At 39.0% G+C, this 26329-nt stretch overlaps 1 protein-coding gene across 5 annotated transcripts in view; it reads left to right on the top strand.

Moving 5' to 3' along the window:
* Nucleotides 1–26329, top strand: part of FCHSD2 (FCH and double SH3 domains 2) — a 305574-nt gene that overhangs the window by 59606 nt on the left and 219639 nt on the right. Inside the window, exon 1 of one of the 5 annotated variants that reach the window (XM_047427949.1) lies at nt 5617–26329. This exon is cut by the window's right edge and continues 19478 nt beyond it. The exons of the other annotated variants lie outside the window; for them this stretch is intronic. The gene's annotated coding sequence lies outside the window, so the exon portion shown is untranslated. Of the gene's footprint in view, nt 1–5616 lie in introns of those variants that run through there. 5 annotated transcript variants of the gene reach the window in all.

The raw sequence follows: 26329 nt of genomic DNA, 5'->3' as shown, positions 1-26329 counted from the left end.
AGATTGTTAGAAGGAAAAATTAACATACAGTAAATTTTCTACATGGTAACCACTATTGCTGCTACTGTTTTTATTCTCATTATAAATAATGAGAGATTGGGGCATGACTCTTTTAGGCTTTGTCAGATTTTTTAATGAAATTCTGATTTCATTATAGTTAATTTTGTAGCTGTTTGCCTTTATTTTTGATTTGATAATCTTAGAAGAAAATCACCTATTCCTTGAAAGCTAGACAGAACTAATTAATTCATTGGTTCAATCAGTAGTTGTTGAGTGCTTATTGTGTATCAGGTGCTTTACATAATGAATAGCATCAGTTTTAATATTTCTGTTGAATGCTTTTTCTTTTCTTTTTTTTTTTTTTTTTTTTTTTTTTTGGGACAAGTCTCACTCTGTGATCCAGGCTAGAGTGCAGTGGTGCGATCTCGGCTCACTGCAACTTCCACCTCCCAGATTCAAGCGATTCTCCTGCCTCAGCCTCCTGAGTAGCTGGGATGACAGGCACACGCCATCACGCCCAGCTAATTTTTTGTATTTTTAGTAGAGACTGGGTTTCACCCTGTTGGCCAGGATGGTCTCAATCTCTTGACCACGTGATCCGCCTACCTCGGCCTCCCAAAGTGCTGGGATTACAGGCATGAGCCACCGCGCCCAGCCGATTTTTGTATTTTTAGTAGAGACGGGATTTTGCCATGTTGGCCAGGCTGGTCTCGAACTGCTGACCTTAGGTGATCCGCCCACCTCAGCCTCCCTAAGTGCTGGGATTACAGGCGTGAGTCACCGCGCCCGATCTTGAATGCTTTTTCTATGCCTGTATAATAAATACTAGTAATGATAGCTGACATTTATTGAATCCTTACTTTGTACCATGCTCTGAGTATTTTATATATGTTATCTGGTTTGATCCTTTCAAACCTGTGAAATAGCAACAGTTATGATGCCCTTTACAAATACACTTTCATACATGTACACTACATATATATTTATAAAATTGAGATGAAAGTCTGTGATACGCTATTTTAGCCAAGTGCAGTGGCACATGCTTGTAATCCCAGCTAGTGGGGAGGCTGAGGCAGGAGAGTTGCTTGATCCCTGGAGCCGGAGATTGCAGTGAGCTCAGATAGTGCCATTGGACTCCAGCCTGGGCAATGGGAGTGAAACCCTGTCTAAAAAAAAAATAGAAAAAAAGTCTATGATATGCTTTAAAAATTTTTAATACAAAATCAAAATTTTTATATGATACAGTCTTCTGTAACAAGATTTATTTATTTATTTAATTGAGATGGAGTCTCACTCTGTCACCCAGGCTGGAGTCCAGTGGCGCCATCTTGGCTCACTGCACCCTCCACCTCCCAAGTTCAAGCAATTCTCCTACCTCATCCTCCCGAATAGCTGGGACTACAGGTGCGTGCCACCATGCCCTTCTAATTTTTGTATTTTTAGTAGAGTTGGGGTTTCACCATAGTGGGCAAGATGATCTCGATCTCTTGACCTTGTGATCCACCTGCCTCGGCCTCCCAAAGTGTTGGGATTTCAGGCATGAGCCACAGTGCCTGGTCGATTTAAAGTTTTAATCAAGTAAATAGGACATGTTTATTATTTAAAATGTAAAATACTACATTAAATTTTATGAAAAGTGAGTCCTCTGCTCCAATCCCAGTCTTTTTCCACAAAGATTAAAAGTGGATGTCTACTTTGGTTCTCCTGGTGATTATTTCTATTTCTTTATTTTATTTTATTTTATTTTATTTTTGTTGTTTTTTTGAGACAGAGTCTTGCTCTGTCACCCAGGAAAAACTAGAGTGCAGTAGTACAGTCTTGGCTCACTGCAACTTCCGCCTCCTGGGTTCAAGTGATTCTCCTGCCTCAGCTTCCTGAGTAGCTGGGATTACAGGTGCCTGCCATCACACCTGGCTAATTTTTGTCTTTTTAGTAGAGATGGGGTTTCACAATGTTGTCCAGGCTGGTTTTGAACTGCTGACCTCAGATCATCCGCCCACCTCAGCCTCCGAAAGTGCTGAGATTACAGGTGTGAGCCACCATGCCCAGCCTCTATATCTTTAAATAATATGCTTATAACTCACTCTTTGTCAATTCTAGACATTATCACTTGATTACCTATAATAAATGAGAAACTTACTAAGCCATTCCTCTCCAGCCTACTCTTTTCAATATAATTGTGGCACTACTTTAGTACCTTTGTTACTTTTGTAACTCTAAATGATATATTTAAACTTGGTCTTTTTTTTGTTAAATACATATATGCACATAGATATTTATGCTGTGTATCTGTGTGTAAATATGAATGTATGCAGGTACAGTGGAATTACATTTTACAGAGTGGTCAAAGTTAAAGTCAAATTTACCCTTGAAAAATTTCTTTTCTTTCTTTCTTTTTTTTTTTTTTTTTTTTTTTGAGACAGGGTCTTGCTCTATCACCCAGACTGGATTGCAGTGGCACAATCATAGCTTAGTGTAATCTTGAACTCCTGGGATCATGTGATCCTTCTGCCTCAGCCTACTGAGTGGCTGGGACTACAGGTGCATGCCACCATACCCGTCTAGTATTTTTATTTTGTAGGGACAGGGTCTTACTATGTTGCCCAGGCTGGTCTCGAACTCCTGGGTTCAAGTAATTCTCCTGTCTCAGCCTCTCAAAGCACTGGGGATTAGAGGCATGAGCTACCGCGCCTGGCTGAAAAATTTCTTTAAATGTCTCTCAAATAGATTATAACTAGTTTTGTTTATACAATCCTATATAATAATGTATGTAAACTATGTAACGTATCTAATAATGCATTTTTAAAATTTTTATAAAGTAATCATATGCAGAAATTAAAATACTCCAGTGTGTCTCTGCTTGGGAAAATCGAGCCCATTTATAGAGAGCCAGTTTACTGCCTGTTTCTGTTACTTATCACATTTGCCCTTTAGATGATCCTTCTGAGTTCTTCTTACTCTTTAATGTTCTCCCAATTAATTTTCAACTTATTTTCTGAGTATATAGACAAAGATATTTCTATCCTCTCTTTTTGATTGTGTAAACATTGTTTTTACTTCTTGTCAATAGTAGAGAAACCTCTGAAATAATTAGCATATTCTTTCTATAGATTTTGCCAGTATGCATTGATTATTTCAGGCTTATTTGCATTTCCTGTATGGGGACAGGATGTGGTCAGAGAGGACAGTTGCATTATTTAAATTATTTACTTCTAGGCCAGGCAAAGTGGCTCATGCCTGTAATCCCAGCACTTTGGGAGGCTGAAGCGGGCGGATCACGACATCAGGAGTTCGAGACCAGCCTGACCAACATGGTGAAACCCCGTCTCTACTAAAAATACAAAAAAAATTAGCCAGGCGTCGTGGCGGGTACCTGTAATCCCAGCTACTCAGGAGGCTGAGGCAGGAGAATCACTTGAAACCAGAAGGCAGAGGTTTCAGGGAGCCAAGATCAGGCCACCACACTCCAGCCTGGGCAACAGAGCAAGACTGTCTCAAAAAAAAAAAAAAAATTATTTCTCTTAACTCTTTTGGCTTAGTGTAGACTTGAAATTTTGGGGAATACATTTTAAAAAGTTGAAATATAGCCTATTTATAGTAAGATGGACAAGTCCTTAGTACACTGTTTGATAAATTTTTGTGAACACACTCATGTAAACTATTATCCAGATTAAGGTATAGAACATTACCAGCAGGCCAGGTGCGGTAGCGCACGCCTGTAATCCCAACACTTGGTGAGGCCAGATCATATTGATCACTTTAGATCAGGAGTTTCAGACCGGCCTGACAACATAATGAGGCCCCATCTCTATAAAAAATAAAAAAAAATTAGCCAGGCGAGGTGACGCATGCCTCTAGTCGTAACTACTTGGAGACTGAAGCAGGAGAATCACGTGAGTCCAGGATTTCAAGGCTGCAGTGAGCTGTGATCGCACCACTGTGCTTCAGACTTGGTGACAGAGTGAGACCTTGTCTCTAAAAAAGAACAATCCCCTATCCCCCAAGAACATTATCAGGGCCCCAGAAGCAGTTAATATTCATACCTTTCAATGGCAACCAGTACTTTTTTTTTTTTTATCAGAATAGTTGTTATTTTTGGATTTCTAATTTTTGAACTTAAATGGCATCATAGAATATGTACCCTTCTGTGTCTGATTTCTTTCATTCAGTATTCAGCTTTTAAGCTTCATGCATGTTGTTGCATGTAGTAGTAGTTCATTCTTTATTGTGTCCACTGAATGAATATATCACAATTTATACTGATAGAGAAAATTCCTATTCTTGTTTTGTATGACTTTTGACTAGGGCTTCTAAACAAAGGTTTTATACGTGTCTTTAAGTGGACATATGAACATATCTTTCTTTGGTATATGTCTGGGGGTAGAACTGCTAGGGCATCGGGCATGTGGTATGTTCTACTTTAGTAGATACAGCCAGTTTTCCAAAGTGACTGTACCAGTTGACATTCTCACCAGCAATGTATGAGAGTTCCAGGTGCTTCATATCTTTGCTAAAGTTTAGTATTCTCTAAAATTAAAAAGACTGACATTTTGGTGAGTATATAGTAGTATCTCATTTTCTTTTTAATAAGCTTTAGAAAAATTGACATATACGTACAGAGAAGAGTACAAGTCATAATTATGTAGCTTCAGGAATTTTCAAGGCAAACACATCCATATAACTAGCACCCAGGTAAAGAAACACATTAACAGCATCCCAGAAATTCCTCTTGTTCCCTGCCATTACTGCCCTCACTCTTACTCAAGGAATCTACTATACTGACTTAAAAAAATAGCTTTATTGTTATGTAGTTGATACACAATAAGCCACACAATTTATAATTTGATAAATTTTGGCATGAGTATGTACCTGTGAAACTAGCATCACAAGCAAGATAATGAACACATCTGTAAGCCCCCAGAGTTTTCCTGTGTGTCCTTATAATCCCTCTCTCCCAGCTGGCTTCTTCATTTAGCATTAACTATTTTGTAGTTTATGTTGTTGTGTGCATCAGTATTTCATTTCTTTTTATTGCTGTGTAGTATTCCATTGTATGGATATACCACAGTTTATCCATTTTCCTGTTGATGGACATGTGAGTTATTTCTGTTTTTTGAGTATTATAAATAAAGTTGCTATAAACATTTGTGTATGGATAAGTGGTTTCATTCCTCTTGGGTAAGTGGAATGGAATGGCTGAATCATTTTTAACTTTTTAAATAACTGCCAAACTGTATTCCAAGGAGATTGTTCCCACCAGCTGTGTATGTGAGTTCTAGGTGCTACATGTCTTCCTCAACACTAGATATAGTCTTCTTAATTTTTGATATTGTGATAGATGTGTAGTAGTATTTATTGTGGTTTTAATTTGTATTTACCTAATATCTAATGATGCTAAGCATCATTTTCATGTGTTTATTTGCCATCTGTATATATTCTGTGGTGAGGTGTTTGTTCAAATATTTTATTGATTTTTTTTTAAATTGGGTTGTTTGGTTTCTTAATTTTTAAAGAAACATTATTATTAAAGTTTTCAAACATATGTGAAAGTAGAACGAATGAGCGTAACAAACTTTTTTTTTTCTTTTTTTTCTTTTTCTTTTTTTTTTTTTTTTGAGACAGAGTCTCAGGCTGGAGTGCAATGGCATAATCTTGTCTCACTGTAAGCTCCGCCTCCCGGGTTCATGCCATTCTCCTGCCTCAGCCTCCTGAGTAGCTGGGACTACAGGTGCCCGCCACCATGCCTGGCTAATTTTTTGTATTTTTAGTAGAGACGGGGTTTCACCATGTTAGCCAGGTTGGTCTCGATCTCCTGACCTCGTGATCCACCCATCTTGGCCTCCCAAAGTGTTGGGATTACAGGCGTGAGGCACTGCGCCGGGCCTAGCATAACAAACTCTTATTAGCTATCACCCAGCTTCTAGTAGTATCAATACATTACAAAATTTGTTCATTTATAGCTTCCCACCTGCTATCCCTTGCTGGTTACTTTAAAAAATACTTTTATGTATACTTTTAATTTACATACCATTAATGATTCATCAATCTTAAGTATGTAATTAAATGATTTTTAGCAAACATACAAAGTTATGCCATAATCAGCACAATTCAGTTTTAGAACATTGCCATTATTCCAGTTCATCTCCTGTGGCTGTTTGAAGTCAGTCTCTACTTTTATCCTGAGCCCAAAGTAACCATCAGCTTTATGTCTCTCTAAAATTGCCTCTTCTGGACGTATCATACAAATGTAATCATATGGTATGTCTCCTTTCTTGTCTGTCTTCTTTCGCTTAGCAGATATTTTTGAGGTTCTTACATGTTTTACTATGCATCATTAATTTATTCCTTTTTATTGGTGAGTAGTGTTTCTTGGCACAGATATATAACATTTTGTTTATCCATTCACCAACTGGTGAACATTAGATTGCTTCCCATTTTCCCATGTTTCAAATTTGGTTATTAGGTATAATGCTGCCTAATAACCATATTAGTCTTTATTTAGACATGTTTTCATATTTCTTGGGTATGTACTAAGAGTAGAATTTTCACATCATTTGGTGATTTTATGTTTAACATTTTTTTGTTTGTTTTTGAGATGGGTTCTCACTCTGTTGCCCAGGCTGGAATAAAGTGGTATGATCATGGCTCACTGCAGCCTCGACCTCCCGGGGGCTCAGGTGATTCTCCTATGTCAGACTCCCAAGTAGCTGGGACTACAGGTGTGCACCACCATGCCTGGCTAATTTTTGTGTTTTTAGTAGAGATGAGGTTTTGCCACGTTGCCCAGGCTGGTCTCGAACTCCTGGACTCAAGCGATCCGACTGCGTTGGCCTCCCATTGTGATGGGATTACAGGCGTGAGCCACCATGCCTGGCCCCCGTGTTTAATGATTTTTTCTTTGTTGATTTTTTTTTTTCTTTTGAGACAGTCTTGTCAGTGGTATGATCTTGGCTCACTGCAAACTCTGCCCCCTGGGTTCAAGAAATTCTCATGCGTCAGTCTCCTGAGTAGCTGGGATTACAGGCACGCACCACCACTCCCAGCTAATTTTTGTATTTTTAGTAGAGATGGGTTTTGCTATGTTGGTCAGGCTGGTCTCGAACTCCTGACCTCAAGTGATCCGTCCTCCTTGGCCTCCCACCATGTTTAACTTTTTAACAAATGATCAAACTGTTTTCCAAATTGACTGTATCATTTTGCATTTCTGCTTTGCATTGTGTTTGCATTCTCGTTTTGCAATGCATGAAGGTTCTAGTTCTAGTAATGTCCTAGCAAATACCTGTCATTGTCTGTTGTTTCTGATAATAACAATTGTAGTGGCTATAATCAATCATTATGAATGGTGCCACTGTGAACATTCTTATATGTATCTTTTGGTGACTATATGAATGTGTTCTATTGGGTATTTACCTAAGGAATGGAATTGTTGTGTCATAGGTTATGTGTTGTTCAGCTTTAGGAAATATCATGAAATGGTTTTCTCAGGTGATTATTGCAATTTACAATCCTGTGAGCAGTGAATGAGAGTTGTTATTGCTTTAAATCCTCACCTATACTTGGTTTTGTCTGTGGTTTTCATTTTAGCCTTTCTGGTGAATATATGATGGTAAAGAATTGTGGGTTTGATTTGCACTTTCCTGATGATTAATGAATTAGAGGAACTTTTCATATCTTGATTGGGCATCTAAATATTTTGTGTTATTAAGTGCCTGTTAAAGTCTCTTGTTGGCTTTTCTCTTATTGATTTATGGTCTTTCTTTCCCTGCCTCCCTCCCTCCCCACTGTCTGTCCGTCCATCCTTGGGACAGGGTCTCACTCTGTCGCCTAGGCTGGAGTGCAGTGGCGTGATCCTAGTTCACTACAGCCTCGAACTCCTGAGCTCAAGTGATCCTCCTACCTCAGCCTCCCAAAGTGCTGGGATTACAGGCATGAGCCACTGTGCCTGGCCAGTTTTACTATCTCTTTATACGTTCCAAATTTGACTCCTTTGTCAGATGTATGTATTACAGATATCTCTGTAATCTCATGTGGAAATGTTTTGTTTGATAGCTTTTTATCTGTTAATGGTTTCTTTTGATGAAAACAAGTTTTTAATTTTAAGGAAATATATTTTTTTTCTTTTATATTCAGTGCTCTCTTTATGTCCTACTTAAGGGTATATTGCTATCCTAAAGTCCACCTTGAGGTGTGTTATGCAATGTTCTGGAATTTTTATTGTTTAATATTTCACATTTAGTTCTATGGTCTTTCTGAAGTAAATTTTCGTATGTGATATTGTATTGGGGTGAGGATTTCATTTTCTATGTGGATATTCAGTTGAAGCATATTTTATGCTTGCACATATGCTTGCACATATTTTATACTTGCACACATAAGTCCTTGCACATACAGAGTTTTATTCTATGATATTATGTAGTCTTGCAAGCATATTTTGTGCTTCCTCAACTGAAAATCCATATAGAAAAGTTTATTTTTCTATATGGATTGAAAAGTTTATTCCCCCTGACTGCACTCCAGCACTGTATTGAAGTGATATTTTGTGGCACATTAGTTAACTGTGTATGTAAGTCTGTTTCTGGACTTTTTATTCTAGTCAACTGACCTATCTTTGAAATATTTTTTTCCCGATATCACACTGTTTTAAGTACTTTGTCTTTATAACAATAAATCTTGATATCTGTTCGTTTAAGATCTTATACTATTATTGCCCTTTATATTTTCTTATAAATTTTAGAATCAGTTTGTTAATTTCTCCCATATGCTGCCTGATATTTTGATTGGACTTGGTTTGAATCTTTAAGTCAATTTAGGGGGAACTGATATCTTAACAAGTCTTCTAGGTACTGTGATTACAGCAATGCTCAAAAAAGAAAAAAAAATCCTTGCACATGTACAGTTTTTATTATTTGATTTTATGTGGTCTTCCAGTTAAATATATTAACTTCTTTCTCTTCAAAGCCACTTATATGGCATTATGGCCAACTGGAAAAGAATGACTTTTATAGAAAAAGAATAATTTTATAGAATTATTACGAGGAATGTATATTGTTATCCTCTGTGCAAAGGATTGATTGACTAAAAAGATTGAGCGTTTGTGAGGTTTACAGAGCATACAGGTGAGCCATCCTAAAAGAAAAATATTGTGAAGGAAATTAATTCAAGTGGGATTGATCGTATGACAGCAATTTGGAAAATTTTATCTCAAGCACATGCAAAGTAAACTTGTATTACCTCTTTAGGGCGATGTTAGAAGAAAGAAAGAAAATAATATTGCAAAACCTTGCTTATATAATTGGAGGAATTCAAGCAGTGAACTTTTTCAAGTTGCTTGGTAGTTTCAGTTTCCTACAAGAGTATTAATGTTTTATTTTTAAGTATGGTTTGTGAAGTTCACTTTGTAATTCTCCAGAAGTAACAGATGTATTGCATATCTGTTTCTACAAATGACAAATGTATCTGTGAAAACAGAAGTCATGTAAGAATAACTGAGCAACATTAAATATTAGGGAACAATCAAGTCTAGCTTCTGACTGCAATTAGCTAACCACTGAGGTGTTGGTAAAATCATTTGCAGTACTCAAACTGAAATTGCTACAGGCAAGTGCTGTGTATTAAAGTACTTCCTGTAGTCTTTGGCAGAATGCTGCTAGTGAAGGAAGGATACAGAAGGTTACTGTGGCTGGAGAGAAGGAGCAGGAAAACATTGTGGACTTTAAGGGCGGCTCCTTGCTTAAAGACAAACACAGAGTAAACACAGACATGTTGGCAAATACCCTGTGGTATTTATACTGTTGCACCTAAAATTTTTTGCTATTTTTACTCTTTTAAGAAATAAAATTATGAAGACTTGGGCATACTATACAAGAAGTTAGTGTTATGTGCATGTGGTGGGGGTTCTTTTTTGGTGAATTTCATCTGCATAGAAACTTAAAAATGTAGCTTAATTTAGCGGTGTGTGGTTACTTTTCTGTCTAATGCTATTAGAGATTAATGGTGAATATATTTGGAGCTTTTCTTTCTGCCAATCTTGTCCTATAGAACAAATAAGGAGACAGGATAACTATCACAATAGGACGTCCACCAGGGCAAAATTGAGTATTATTTTCTGTGTCCTGTTTTGTAAATTACTTTTTAAAATCTTACTGTTTATTTTTATTTCATTTTTCCTTATCTTATAACAGTGTTTAGAAATTCATATAGAAGGAAGAGCAGATGGAGTCCTCTCCTGAAATAGTTGGTACAGTTTGATTTTTAAGTTTTTAAAAACTTCATTAAAGGAAGTTTTAAAAAACTTCATTAAAAATTTAATTAAGTTTTTAAACTTCATTAAAGAAATGGTGGCTATAATTAAATGTTAGTACTCTTGGGGACATAGATTTGCTAGTAAGTTTCACTTTTTCATGGCTATTCGGTAGCACATCTCGTAAAGGTGTTGAGAGGAAATCATTGTTGATGCTGATCCCCATTATTTTCCTCCCCAAACCTTCTGTTTCTATTAATTAATTTAGTGGTTAGGCCAGGATAAAACAGAGTGGAGAGAGGGGAGAATTCATACTAGATCTGTGATTTTGAACCTTTTGTGTGTGAACATGCCCGTTTTTATTTTGGCTCCTTTTATACAGGACATAGTGGTCTGCGTATGTCTTCACTCATTTGTTGTTTACCTGGTCCCACTGGTTGAGTTTGAGTCCCCTGCCCTGACCGCTGATCAAAAAATAAGATTTTTTATAGGCACCTCTGTCTTAACCTCTCTATATCAGTTTATGCTGTGGACTCTTTCTCTGTATTTTGGGTTAAAGAACATATATTAAGATCATGTGTCAGGCACTGTTCTAAGCACTTTACATAGATTAACTCATTTATGTTTTCCCTATAACCTTTGAGGGATACAGTAGTTACTGTTATTCCCATTTTATAATTGTGGACACCAAGACAAGAAACCTGTGTTTCACTCTGTCCATTTCCCTCCCTTCAAATAATCTACTACTGGACACTTTTTTTTGTCTTTTTGTTGAGATGGAGTCTCATTCTGTCGCCAGGCTGGAGTGCAGTGACATGATCTCGGCTCACTGCAGCCTCTGCCTCTCAGGTTCAAGCGATTCTCCTGCCTCAGCCCCCCGAGTAGTTGGGACTACGGGCACACACCACCATGCCCAGCTAATTTTTTTTTTTTTTTTGTATTTTTAGTAGAAACAGGGTTTCACCATGTTGGCCAGGATGGTCTCAATCTCCTGACCTCGTGATCTGCCCGCCTCGACCTCTCAAGGTGCTGGGATTACAGGCGTGAGCCACTGCGCCCAGTCCTGGACACATTTTAAGAGAGACATTGGCAGTCTGAGGTGCATCCAAAAGATGACCAAAGTTGGTGGTGGGGTTGGAAATCATGCTTTTTGGGAAAATGGTCAAAGAAGCTGCATTATTTTCAACAGCCTCCATTATAGATTTCATGTGTATGCACGTGAATTGAATTTGACTAGTTTTTGTAACTCTGAAGTGCAAAACTAGGAAGAGGGAGTAGAGAGATCAGGATGACAGAAGGTATTAGCTAGTTAGAGCAGCTCCAGAATGGAAGAGACTGTGTCTTCCAAAAGTGTTCTTGTAAAATAATTGGTAGACCATCTTTTAGTAATATTGTAGGAGGCATTTATGGAAAACATTTTTCTCCTTAAAAGATTTTGTTTAATGTTTCCAATTGCTTGTGGAATTGGACAAATAAAACATGTGTAAAGGCCCTTCCCATCTGAAGGATGCCAGTTTGCAACTTCTGCTTTAATTGTTCTAGGTTTTACTTCTGAATCAAACTAAATTCTTAGTTTTCAGACCACATTATTTCACTTCCAGCAGACTGCTTTTACTGAGGTATGCTTAAACCTCACTTAACTAACCACTGAGGTGTTGGTTAGTTATTAAGTGAATGGTGACGCTCTAAGGTCACCATTCACTTAATAACTTGTTCAATTTCTTTTTTTTTTTTAATTTGACATTTAGGCCGGGTATGGTGGCTCACGCCTGTAATACCAGCACTTTGGGAGGCCAAGGTGGGCAGATCACTTGAGGCCAGGAGTTCGAGACCAGCCTGGCCAGCATGGTGAAACCCCATCTCTACTAAAAATACAAAAAAATTAGCCAGACATGGTGGCAGGCGCCTGTAATACCAGCTACTCAGGAGGCTGAGGCAGGAGAATCGCTTGAACCCGGGAGGTGGAGGTTGCAGTGAGCCAAGGTCGTGCCACTGCACTCCAGCCTGGGCGACAGAACGAGACTGTATCTCAAAAATAAAAATAAAAATAAAAAACCCTGACATTTATCAAGTATCTACTTTACGACTGGCGTGATGCTAGGTTCTAGGGATGTCAAGAGAAGGTTGGGATATATAGGCTGTTTAGTGCTGGAATGTTATCAGTAAAACAGAGTGGTATGAGATGAAGCTGAGGAGCAGACAGGGCCTATGCCATATAAGAGGCTTGTTAGAAATAGCCTTATGAAATAGACTACACTTATAGGGATATTGTTCTGGAGATTGCTTTCCATGTCATTAATAGACCATTATATGAAGGCTAGGAACATCTTTGTTTACCCTATATTTTCTTCTTGGGACAATGAAATTCTTGTTACTGATAAGTTTCCTTTTTTACTTTTGCCAGAAGTTCTTGTGACTGATAAGTTTCCCTTTTTACTTTCGCCACCTGGAAATTCAGTTGAAAATTCAAGCCCATGTATGTGCATTCTAACTTTCTACCTGGTCTTGATCTATTACTTCATGTAATTTTCTGTGACTCTGTTTTTTTACATATTTAGTTATTGTTTTATATATAATCTGATAAGTGATTTAGATTCTTTGTGGAATGAGACCAATGTATCATTTATGAATCTAGATGTTTTATTTGCCTTGCTGGTACCCAGAGTCATTTGTTATTTGTTAACCTGGGTCTCTTGCTTTTCTTCAATTCTGGAAAGAATTTAGTCATTTCTGTAAATATTGCTTCTTCAACATTATTTGTATCTATCTCTTTTTAAAGTTTTAATTGTTGTATCTTGGATCCTCTTAATCTATTTTCCATGTCTCTTGGTTTTTTCACATATTTTTAATTCTTTGCTCTTTGTGCTATGTTCTGGATGAATTAACCAGTTTGAACTTCCAACTCACCAATTGTCTATTTAACTGTGTCTATTTGAGGGTTTTATCTTATCCATTGCTTTGTTAGTGATCATATTCTTTCTAGGATTTTTGGTTCTTTTTAGAGATGTGTGTATATATGTATGTATGTATATATGTTCTTATACCAGTTTTTTTTCAGTTCTGTGTGTTTTTGTAATTTCTTATTCTTTTAAAATTAGAAATGATTTTTAAATTTCTCTTTGGATAGTTATTTTGTAGTCTTTTTTTTTTTTTTTTTTTTTTGAGACAGAGTTTTGCTCTGTCACCCAGGCTGGAGTGCAGTGGTGTGATCTCTGCTCACAGCAACCTCTGCCTCCATGGTTCAAGTGATTTTCCTGCCTCAGCCTCCCGAGTGGCTGGGACTACAGGTGCATGCCACCACGCCTGGCTAATTTTTGTACTTTTAGTAGAGATGGGGTTTCACCATTTTGGCCAGACTGGTCTCAAACTCCTGACCTCAGGTGATTAGCCCACCTTGGCTTCCTAAAGTTCTGGGATTACAGGCATGAGCCACCATTCCTGGCCTTTTTTTTTGTTTTTTGGAGATGGTTTTGCTCTGTCATCAGGCTAGAGTGCAGTGGCGAAGTCATGACTCACTGCAGCCTCGACCTTCTTTACTTAAGCCATCCTCCTACCTCAGCCTCCCAAGTAGCTGGGACTACAGGCACATGCCACCACACCTGGCTGATTTTTTTGTTTTTTTAATTTTTTTTTCTTTTTCTTTTTTTTTTTTTTTTTTTACTTTTTGTAGAGATGAGGTCTCACTATGTTGCCCAGGCTGGTTTTGAACTCCTGGGCTCAAGCAGTCCTCTTGCCTCGGCCTCCCAAAGTGTTGGGATTACAGACATGAGCCAGTGCACCTGGCCTGAAGTCTTTATAAAGAGTTTTATGTATAATTAACTTCATCTGTACCAAATGTGTGTTCCAATTGTTAATTTTGTTAACTGTATAAAAACTGATAAAACTTTAAACCAAAAATATATAAAGGAATCTAATTTTAGTTCACCTTGTGTTTTCATAATAACTTTTTTTTTCTCAACTTTTTTTTAACTTCAGGAGTATATATGCAAGATGTGCAGGTTTGTTACATAGGTAAATTTTGTGTGCCATGGTGGTTTACTGTACAGATCATCCAGGTATTAAGCTCAGCATCCATTAGTTATTCTTCCTGATGCTCTCTCTCCGCCCCCCCAACCCCACCCTACCCCACCCTCCCTCCACCACCCACCGCACAGGTGTTCAGTGTGTGTTGTTCCCCCACCATGTGTTCTCATTGATCAGCTCCCACTCACAAGCGAGAACATGCACATAATGGCATATTTTTAAAGAAGAAATTATTTCTTCATTTATTTGGGGTACTGATATGGTTTGCCTGTGCCCCCACCCAAATCTCATCTTGAATTGTAGTTCCCATAATTCCCATGTGTTGTGCGAGGGACCTGGTGGGAGTTAACTGAATCATGGGGGCAGTTTCTTCCATACTGTTCTCGTGGTAGTGAATAAGTCTCACGAGATCTGATGGTTTTATAAGGGGAAACCCCTTTCACTTGGTTCTTATTCTCTCGTGTCTGTCACCATGTAAGACATGGCTTTAGCCTTCTGCCATGATTGTGAGGCCTCCCAAGCCACATGGAACTATCAGTCCATTAATCCTCTTTTTCTTTATAAATTACCCAGTCTTGAGTATGTCTTTATCAGCAGTGTGAAAATGGACTAATGCAGGTACCTCATAAAGGTCCTTGTAAGACTGTTCTCAATGATTTCATGTGAAATGATTTTGTATTTCAATTGCTGGAATATTGGTTTAAAGCCTCATTTTGAGAGGTAGGGGTTTTTGTTTTTTTTCATTCCGCTCATTTTCTCTGTGCTTATCCTTCTCTGTCTGATGATTTTGCACTTGTTCCTTTTCAGCTCCTAAGTCTTTAATGTAGAACCAGGTCTTATAAATGCTTCAGGGATCTTGAACATGATGATATTGGGGATATGGCAGACCTACCACTGAACCAGAGGGGAAGTTCAAATTGTTTTTTATTCAATTTAAGAGCATATCTATTTTCTTTCTTTCTTTTTTTTTTATTATACTTTAAGTTCTGGGATACATGTGCAGAACGCGCAGTTTTGTTACATAGGTGTAATGTGCCATGGTGGTTTGTTGCACCCAACAACCCGTCACCTATGTTAGGTATTTCTCCTAATGTTATCCACCCTCTAGCCCCCAACCCCCAACAGGCCCTGGTGTGTGATATTCCCCTCCCTATGTCCATGAGTTCTCATTGTTCAACTCCCACTTATGAGTGAGAACATGCAGTGTTTCGTTTTCTGTTGTGATAGTTTGCTGAGAATGATGGTTTCCAGCTTCATCCATGTCCCTGCAAAGGACATGAACTCATCCTTTTTTATGGCTGCATGGTATTCCATGGTGTATATGTGCCACATTTTCTTTATCCAGTCTATAATTGATAGACATTTGGGTTGGTTCCAAGTCTTTGCTATTGTGAATAGTGCCGGAATAAACATACGTGTGCATGTGTCTTTATAGTAGAATGATTTATAATCCTTTGGGTATATACCTGGTAAAGGGGATCTCTGGGTCAAATGATATTTCTGGTTCTGGATCCTTGAGGAATCGCTACACTGTCTTCCACAATGGTTGAAGTAATTTACACTCCCACCAACAGTGTAAGAGCGTTCCTATTTCTCCACATCCTCTCCAGCATCTGTTGTTTCCTGACTTTTTAATGATCGCCATTCTAACTGGCGTGAGATAATATCTCATTGTGGTTTTGATTTGCATTTCTTTAATGACCAATGATGATGAGCATTTTTTCATGTCTGTTGGCTACATAAATGTCTTCTTTTGAGAACTGTCTGTTCATATCCTTTGCCTACTTTTTGATGGTTTTTTTTTTCTTGTAAATTTGTTTAAGTTCTTTGTAGATTCTGGATATTAGCCCTTTGTCAGATAGATTGCAAAAATTTTCTCCCATTCTGTAGGTTGCCTGTTCACTCTGATGATAGTTTCTTTTGCTGTGCAAAAGCTCTTTAGTTTAATTAGATCCCATTAGTTTTGGCTTTTGTTGCCATTGCTTTTGGTGTTTTAGACATGAAGTCTTTGCCCATGCCTATGTCCTGAATGGTATTGCCTAGGTTTTCTTCTAGGATTTTTATGGTCCTAGGTCTTATGTTTAAGTCTTTGATCCATCTCGAGCTGATTTTTGTATAAGGTGTAAGGAAGGGATCCGGTTTCAATTTTCTGCATATGGCTAGCCAGTTTTCCCAACAACATTTATTAAATAGGTAATCTTTTCCCCATTGCTTGTTTGTGTCAGGTTTGTCAAAGATCAGTTGGTTGTAGGTGTGTGGTGTTATTTCTGAGGCTTCTGTTCTGTTCCATTGGTCTATGTATCTGTTTTGGTACCAGTACCATGCTGTTTTGGTTACTGTAGCCCTAGTTTGAAGTCAGGTAGCGTGATGCCTCCAGCTTTGTTCTTCTTGCCCAGGATTGTTTTGGCAATGCAGGCTCTTTTTTGGTTCCATATGAACTTTAAAGTAGTTTTTTTCCAATTCTGTGAAGAAAGTCAGTGGTAGCTTGATGGGGATAGCATTGAATCTATAAATTACTTTGGGTGGTATGGCCATTTTCATGATATTGATTCTTCCTAGCCGTAAGCATGGAATATTTTTCCATTTGTTTGTGTCCTCTCTTATTTCCTTGAGCAGTGGTTTGTAGTGCTCCTTGAAGAGGTCCTTCACATCCCTTGTAAGTTGGATTCCTAGGTATTTTATTATCTTTGTAGCGATTGTGAATGGGAGTTCACTCATGATTTTTCTCTGTCTGTTATTGATGTATAGGAATGCTTATGATTTTTGCACATTGATTTTTTGGATCCTGAGACTTTGCTGAAGTTGCTTATCAGCTTAAGGAGATTTTGGACTGAGACGATGGGGTTTTCTAAATATGCAATCATGTCATCTGCAAACAGAGACAATTTGACTTCCTCTCTTCCTATTTGAATACCTTTTATTTCTTTCTCTTTCTTGATTGCTCTGGCCAGAACTTCCAATACTATGTTGAATAGGAGGGATGAGAGAGGGCATCCTTGTCTTGTGCCGGTTTTCAAAGGGAATGTTTCCAGTTTTTGCCCATTCAGTATGATATTGGCTGTGGGTTTGTCATAAATAGCTCTTATTATTTTGAGATACATTCCATTGATACCCAGTTTATTGAGAGTTTTTAGCATGAAGCGCTGTTTAATTTTGTCAAAGGCCTTTTCTGCATCTATTGAGATAATCGTGTTTTTTTGTGATTGATTCTGTTTACGTGATAGATTACATTTATCGATTTGCATATGTTGATCCAGCCTTACATCCCAGGTATGAAGCTGATTTGATCATGGTGGATAAGCTTTTTGATGTGCTGCTGGATTTGGTTTGCCAGTGTTTTATTGAGGATTTTCGCATTGATGTTCCTCAGGGATATTGGCCTTAAATTTTCTTTTTTTGTTGTGTCTCTGTCAGGCTTTGGTATCAGGATGATGCTGGCCTCATGAAAGGAGTTAGGGAGGATTCCCTCTTTTTCTATTGTTTGGAATAGTTTCAGAAGGAATGGTACCAACTCCCCTTTGTACCTCTGGTAGAATTTGGCTGTGAATCGGTCTGGTCCTGGACTTTTTTTAGTTGGTAGGCTATTAATTACTGCCTCAATTTCAGAACTTGTTATTGGTTTATTCAAGGATTCGACTTCTTTCTGGTTTAGACTTCGGAGGGTGTATGTGTCAAGGAATTTATCCATTTCTTCTAGATTTTCTAGTTTATTTGCATGCAGGTGCTTAAAGTATTCTCTGGTGGTAGTTTGTATTTCTATGGGATCAGTGGTGATATAAGAATATCCCACAGGATATCACCACTGATATAAGGATATCACCACTGATCCCACAGAATCAGTGATATCCCTTATATCATTTTTTATTGCGTCTGTTTGATTCTTCTCTCTTTTCTTCTTTATTAGTCTGGCAAGCAGTCTATTTTGTTGATCTTCTCAAAAAAACTGCTCCTGGATTCATTGATTTTTTTTTTTGAAGGGTTTTTCTTGTTTCTATCTCCTTCAGTTCTGCTCTGATCTTAGTTATTTCTTGTCTTCTGCTAGATTTTGAATTTGTTTGCTGTTGCTTCTCTAGTTCTTCTAATTTTGATGTTAGGGTATCAATTTTAGATCTTTCCTGCTTTCTTTTGTGGGCATTTAGTGCTATAAATTTCCCTCTACAGACTACTTTAAATGTGTCCCAGAGATTCTGGCACGTTGTGTCTTTGTTCTCATTGGTTTCAAAGAACATCTTTATTTCTGTCTTCATTTCATTATATACCCGGTAGTCATTTAGGAACAGGTTGTTCAATTTCCATGTAGTTGTGTGGTTTTGAGTGAGTGTCTTAATCCTGAGTTCTAGTTTGATTGCACTGTGGCCTGAGAGACTGTTATGATTTCCATTCTTTTGCATTTGCTGAGGAGTGTTTTACTTTCAATTATGTGGTCAATTTTAGAATAAGTGTGATGTGGTGCTAAGAAGAGTGTATATTCTGTTGTTTTGGGGTGGAGAGTTCTGTAGGTGCCTATTAGGTCTGCTTGGCCCAGAGCTGAGTTTAGGTCCTGAATATCCTTGTTAATTTTCTGTCTCATTAATCTGTTTAATATTGACAGTGGGGTGTTAAAGTCTCCCATTATTATTGTGTGGGAGTCTAAGTCTCTTTGTAAGTCTCTAAGAACTTGCTTTATGAATCTGGATGCTCCTGTATTGGGTGCATGTATATTTAGGATAGTTAGCTCTTCTTGCTGCATTGATCACTTTACCAATATGTAATACCGTTCTTTGTCTCTTTCAATCTTTGTTGGTTTAAAGTCTGTTTTATCAGAGATTAGGATTGCAACTCCTGCTTTTTTTTTGCTTTCCATTTGCTTGGTAAATATTCCTCCATCCCTTTATTTTGAACCTATGTGTGTCTTTGCACATGAGATGGGTCTCCTGAATACAGCACACTGATGGGTCTTGACTCTTTATCCAATTTGCCAGTCTGTGTCTTTTAATTGGGGCATTTAGCCCATTTACATTTAAGGTTAATATTGTTATGTGTGAATTTGATCCTGTCATTATGATGCTAGCTGGTTGTTTTGACCATTAGTTGATGCAGTTTCTTCATAGTGTTGATGTTCTTTACAATTTGGCATGTTTTTGCAGTGGCTGGTACCGGTTGTTCCTTTCCATGTTTAGTGCTTCCTTCAGGAGCCCTTCAAAGGCAGGCCTGGTGGTGACAAAATCCCTCAGCATTTGCTTGTCTGTAAAGGATTTTATTTCTCCTTTGCTTATGAAGCTTAGTTAGGCTGGATATGAAATTCTGGGTTGAAAATTCTTTTCTTTAAGAATGTTGACTATTGGCCCCCACTCTCTTCTGGCTTGTAGGGTTTCTGCCGAGACATCCACTGTTAGTCTGATGGGCTTCCCTTTGTGGGTAACCTGACCTTTCTCTCTGGCTACCCTTAACATTTTTTCCTTCATTTCAGCCTTGGTGAATCTGACGATTATGTGTCTTAGGGTTGCTCTTCTTGAGGAGTATCTTTGTGGTGTTCTATGTATTTCCTGAATTTGAATATTGGCCTGTCTTGCTAGGTTGGGGAAGTTCTCCTGGATAATACGCTGAAGTGTGTTTTCCAACTGGGTTCCATTCTCCTTGTCCCTTTCAGATACACCAATCAGATGTAGATTTGGTCTTTTCACATAGTCTCATATTTCTTGGAAGCTTTGTTCGTCCTTTTTATTCTTTTTTCTGTAATCTTGTCTTCTTTCTTTATTTCATTAAGTTTATCTTCAATCACTGGTATCCTTTCTTCCTCTTGATCGATTTGGCTATTGAAACGGTGTATGCTTCATGAAGTTCTCGTGCTGTGTATTTCAGCTCCATCGGGTCATTTATGTTCTCCTCTACACTGGTTATTCTAGTTAGCAATTCGTCTAACGTTTTTTCAAGGTTCTTAGCTTCCTTGCATTGGGTTAGAACATGCTCCTTTAGCTTGGAGGTGTTGGTTATTACCCACCTTCTGAAGCCTATTTCTGTCAATTTGTCAAACTCGTTCTCCATCCAGTTTTGTTCCCTTGCTGGTGAGGAATTGTGATCCTTTGGAGGAGAAGAGGCATTTTGGCTTTTGGAATTTTCAGCCTTTTTGCACTGCTTTCTCCCCATCTTTGTGGATTTGTGTACCTTTGGTCTTTGATGTTGGTGACCTTCCATTGGTGTGTTTGAGTGCACATGCTATTCCTTTCTGTTTGTTAGTTTTCCTTCTGACAGGCCCCTCTGCTGCAGGTCTGCTGAAGTTTGCTGGAGGTCCACTCCTGACCCTGTTTGCCTGGGTATCATCAGCAGAGGCTGCAGAACATCAAAGATTGCTGCCGATCTTTCCTCTGAAAGCTTCGTCCCAGACAGGCACCTGCCAGATGCCAGTCAGAGCTCTCCTGTATGAGGTGTCTGTTGGCCCCTACTGGGAGGTGTCTCCCAGTCAGGAGGAACAGGGGTCAGGGACCCACTTGAGGAGGCAGTCTGACCCTTCACAGAGCTCGAACACAGTGCTGGGAGGTCCACTACTCTCTTCAGAGCCACCAGGCAGGGATGTTTAAGTCTGCTGAAGCTGTGCCCACAGCTGCCCCTTTCCCCAAGTGCTCTGTCCCAGGGAGATGGGGGTTTTATCTGTAAGCCCCTGACTGGGGCTGCTGCCTTTTTTTCAGAGATACCCTGTCCAGAGAAGGGAAATCTGGCAGTCTGGCCACAGCAGCCTTGCTGAGCTGCAGTGGGCTCCACCCAGTTCGAACTTCCCAGAGGCTTTGTTTATACTGTGAGCATAAAACCACCCTACTCAAGCCTCAGCAATGGCGGACGTCTCTCCCCACACCAAGCTCGAGCGTCCCAGGTCGATCTCAGACTGCTGCTGTGCTGGCAGTGAGAATTTCAAGCCAGTGGATCTTAGTTTGCTGGGCTCCGTGGGGGTGGGACCCGCAGACCCATACCACTTGGCTCCCTGGCTTCAGCACCCCTTTCCAGGGGAAGTGAATCGTTCTGTCTCACTGGTATTCCCGGTGCCACTGGGGTATGGAAAAAAAGAATTCCTGCAGCTAGTTTGGTGTTTGCCCAAATGGCCACCCAGGTTTGTACTTGAAACCCAGGGCTCTGGTGGGGTAGGCACTGGAGGGAATCTCCTGGTCTGCAGTTTGCGAAAACCATGCGACAAGCACAGTATCTGTTCCAGAGTTCTTCAGGCTCAGTCCCTCATGGCTTCCCCTGGGTAGGGGGAAACATTCCCTGACCCTTTGTGCTTCCCAGGTGAGGTGACCCCCCACCCTGCTTCGGCTCGCCTTCCATGGGCTGCACCCACTGTCCAACCAGTCCCAATGAGATGAACCAGGTACCTCAGTTGGACATGCAGAAATCATCTGCCTTCTGCGAGGATCTTGCTGGGAGCTGCAGACCAGAGCTGTTCCTATTTGGCCATCTTGCCAGCAATCCTTGCCTGTTTTCTTTTGCTTCTATTTATCAACAGTTCTATATAAGTTCTTGTTCCTGGCAGCTGTTGGTAGCATTTTTTCAGCCTTCCTTCATGAACACGGGAATCTCACTATAGTGCCTGGTTTCAAGCTATGAACCTGGCTCCTGATCCCTGTCCCACTGTGAGCCCTTTTAGTTTCCTTTACTTTGCAGGAGCCAAACTCTCCATTGCCTTCTTCTTAACCTAGAGTTTTGTGTATTTCTAACTTCAATCTTGCCCACAGCTTTGCTTTTCTGGCCCAGGGGAAATAGTTATCTTATTTTCATGCCCATTTTTGTCTTATAGTTTTTTCCTTTTTATTTTTTAAATCTCTCATTCATAAGTGTTTTCAGTGGGATGAGTGGACAATCCATCAAAGCATGAAATAATTACATGGTCTTCATGCAAAGTCTTTCTTAGATAGCCTTTATGGCTCCTTCTGGCTCTGACATTGTATGATATACTATTGATTATTTCCCCTGGAAAACTTTCTCACTGTAATGTGTTCCTTCATTGCCTGTGAGAAGGAGCACAAGACAAATAAAACTTTTTTTTTATCCTGGTATTTTTCCAGGCTCCTGGTATTAGAATGTTTGAAATGAAATTATACAAAATGTCTTCAGATAAATTATGAGTTCTTGGGAAATTATGTTTGAATTTGCTGGTGACAGATAATAATAATAAATAGGTAGAAATGAAGATATGAATAATGCTTCAATTTCCTAAATGCCAAAATATGGTACAATTAGACATTTGTTTAAACTTCCTTGAATGGGTGTTACTTTCCTGAGGTTTAACTTTAAATTAGTGGCTGCATTTGCATTCATTCAATGAATCTATTGGGTGACTAACTCCTTATACAGTAACAGAGTCACAGAGGTTAAGGCTAGGCTTCTAGAGGTGTTAGTCATCTCTGATAGCAGTGTATCCTACCTGCTTTTAAAAAGAACATTTTAGTAAGGATAGGAGGTATACGTTAGAGGAATATATAATTTGCTTTGTTTGTAACAGGAATACCTGAGAATGTACTGATGACCATGTAAACAAGGTACAGTTTAGGGTAGAATTTCTGCAGATATAAGCAAAGTTTTGGTACAACAAATGGTTAATTTATCAAGTCTTCTATTAGTCAAGGATTGTTTGAGAGTATGCTAAAACTGTTGTCTGTTCCTTAACCGTGGGTTTTCATTGTCTTGGGATGAGAATCCATGCTTTCAGATTGCCAGAATTCTGGAAGTGTTCACAGCTAGGGGAAAAAAAGAAAAAAAAAGAAAGAAAACCTCACAGAAAATTTTTAGTAAAATTCATTATTAGCCGGTTTCTCAGGACTTCATTTGGTACCAGGATACATAAAACTTGAATTTTCATAGACTAATTTTGCTTTTCCTCTTACCATGGAAAGAAGATTAGAAGTATTGGTTGACCTTCAGCAAAATAAACTTAGTACAAGGCAGAAGAAGTTAGAGTGAAGGGTAGGGAGCATTCCTCGTTTTTAGGGATAGTCACATCTGACATTTATGTTTATGATTTATGAACTCTTTGAAGTGCAGTCTGATGGCTAACACTTATCTGACACAATGTTTTCTTTAGCCCGTCCTACAACTTCTTAATCCTAGAAAACCTAGAAATTAATTTTTAAAATTCCTTTTTTAAAAAGGAAACAACTTTATAGTGTAAAAATCCTTTTCTGGTATGGGGGTTAAAAAAAAAACCCACGGAGGGTAAATAAACCGTAGTTCACACAGTGTAATGTAAAGTCTTCAGCCATTGTCAATAGACTCTGTATTTTGAAATCATTTTGCTTTCATCCCAAATGGTTGACTTTTCAGTATTTGAGCTAGACTTACCTTATGAATTATAGTGTGCATTCTCACTGAAAGTAGTCTCATTTTCTTGTTTACATTTATATCCATGTTTGTTGAATTGAGTACAGTTCAACAATGGTATTTCTTAGCTTAGCTTAAAAACTAAAATGGGATGATTCATTGAGTCTATTTCACCTTATGTTATAGAGGCTAGCCTATCAATGTAAGGACTGTGGAAACTCATATGCAATTATATTTCTGGTTGGTAAGTGATCCAAAAAAGATGTAAAAGATTATTTATCCCGTTAGAAAATGAAAGTCTAGGTGGGATGGCTCACACGTGTAATCCCAGCACTTTGGGATGCTGAGGCAGGCGGATCACCTGAGGTCAGAAGTTCAAGACCAGCCTGGCCAACATGGTAAAACCCCATCTCGACTAAAAATTCAAAAATTAGCCAGGTACTCGGGAGGCTGAGGCAGGAGAATTGCTTGAACCTGGGAGGCAGAGGTTGCAGTGAGCTGAGATCACACCACTGAACTCCAGCCTGGGCGACAGAGCAAGACTCTGTCTTAAAAAAAAAAAAAAAAGGAAAATGAAATAAACCTAAAAAACAAGTAATCATTATCAGAGAATGATTATATAGCCAAGAAGTTTTGTTAAAAATAAAGATCTTGAAGCCTTTCCCTAATTTAACTATGTATCTTTCTATCATGTGTTATACTAGTAGTATTCAAATCAAGAAGTTAGTCAGTTTGTTGTTTAGATAATTGATGGGCAAATTGTGATGACATCTAGCCATACCATGTCACACTGAGTATGTTACAACTGGAATTGTCCTTTGTTGTTAGAATATTGGTATATATACTATACCATTTAATGTCTGATTTTCATAGCTCTCTGTGCTGTAATAACCTCAAGTGTTAATGCCAGGTTGCTGTAGCATCAGCCTGGCTGATTTTATGACATAAAACAATAATGGTCCAATACCTTTAAAGAATACAGAATTGGCCAGGCACAGTGGCTCACGCCTGTAATCCCAGCACTTTGGGAGGCTGAGGCAGGCGGAGCACGAGGTCAGGAGATCGAGACCATCCTGGCTAACACGGTGAAACCCTGTCTCTACTAAAAATACAAAAAATTAGCCAGGCGTGGTCGTGGGCGCCTGTAGTCCCAGCTACTCGGGAAGCTGAGGCAGGAGGATGGCGTGAACCCGGGAGGCGGAGCTTGCAGTGAGCCAAGATCGTGCCACTGCACTCCAGCCTGGGCGACAGAGCGAGACTCTGTCTCAAAAAAAAAAAAAAAAAGAATACCGAATTGGCAGTCCTGGAGGCTTATGTGTCCCAGGCTCCTCTTAGATCCCTCAAGAACTGAGGGGAACTCATTCCCTGTATAGCTGTGGGGCGCAATACATTGTTTGGGAAGCTCTGATTTAAAGGGTTAGGGACTGAGCTTGATTAATAGATGTACAGAACACTTTGAGAATAAGGGTTTTGTTGATGATGAATAAACTGGGAGTCTTGGCATATCTCGTGGTGACTGATGTTGAAAGGGAAATGGAGCCTAATGGAATAGTCCTGATGGCCACCTAGAAGGAGGTAGAATATTCCTTATATAGATGTTTTCTCCTCCCTCCCTCCCTTCCTCTCTTCTTCCCTTCTGTCCTTTCCATTCACCTATATCCTTTTTAATATAGTTTTCTGGAGAAGGCCTACCTCTGTTGGCTGTGAGGGCAGGAAGCAGACAAGTAAGCTGGGAACCCCCATAATTACCACAGTAAGGAAATCCTGGTGGAATGCTTTAAGTTTCTCTTCTGAAGGAGATTACCTGGCTGTTTTTTTTCTTCCTTGTGATTCTTTAGCTTCTGTTTTGCTTCTCCTAGTGGCCTCAGTGCCCATGCTTCGAACCTGTGTACTGTGTCCTAGGTACTATGCCGGTCACTTAAAGACATGATTTCATTTAATCTTTAATTGTGGGGTATTCATTTGTTTACTACAAAGGTCCTTCTGCATTTTCCTAGGTTGTTTCCTTATGTACTTCACGATGCAAATCAATTGTCAACCTATGGATTTTATTTATTTATTTTATTTTATTTTTTAGTTTTTGAGTCGGAGTCTTGCTCTGTCGCCCAGGCTAGAGTGCAGTGGTGTGATCTCGGCTCACTGCAAGCTCCGCCTCCTGGGTTCACGCCATTCTCCTGCCTCAGTTTCCCAAGTAGCTGGGACTACAGGCGCCTGCCACCATGCCCGGCTAATTTTTTTGTATTTTTAGTAGAGATGGGGTTTCACTGTGTTAGCCAGGATGGTCTCAATCTCCTGACCCTGTGATCCACCCACCTTGGCCTCCCAAAGTGCTGGGATTACAGGCGTGAGCCACCGCGCCCGGCCTTGTCAATCTATGGATTTTATTCCCTCATCTGTTGCTGCTCAGTCTGAATTTGATGGCTCTCATGTGCTCTCCTGTAGTACCTTTTGTTTCTGTCATATGACTTATTGTTCTGTTATGCTCTCTTCTCTACCTATTTTGCATAGTCTCTGGTATGTGTTAAATGCATGGTGAATGTTTATTTAATGAATGAATGAATGAGGAAATATAGTTTCAAGTTCTGAGAATGATAATAAATCCTTAGGTGAAATTTACCCCATTTGAAAGATTAAATTGATTCATTTTAGCAAAGTTGAAGAGACAAATGTACCTAAACAGTCCTTTTTCATTGTGAACATGTATGACTTTTAGAATCTAGGGAGACAAAAAATAATTTTTAAAAAGATTACATTTTGGGGGTATGAGCAGTGTTCTTTACT

This window comes from Homo sapiens, chromosome 11 (genome assembly GCF_000001405.40).
Source record: "Homo sapiens chromosome 11, GRCh38.p14 Primary Assembly".
NCBI lineage: Eukaryota > Metazoa > Chordata > Mammalia > Primates > Hominidae > Homo > Homo sapiens.
This window is presented reverse-complemented; position numbering and strand designations above follow the sequence as displayed.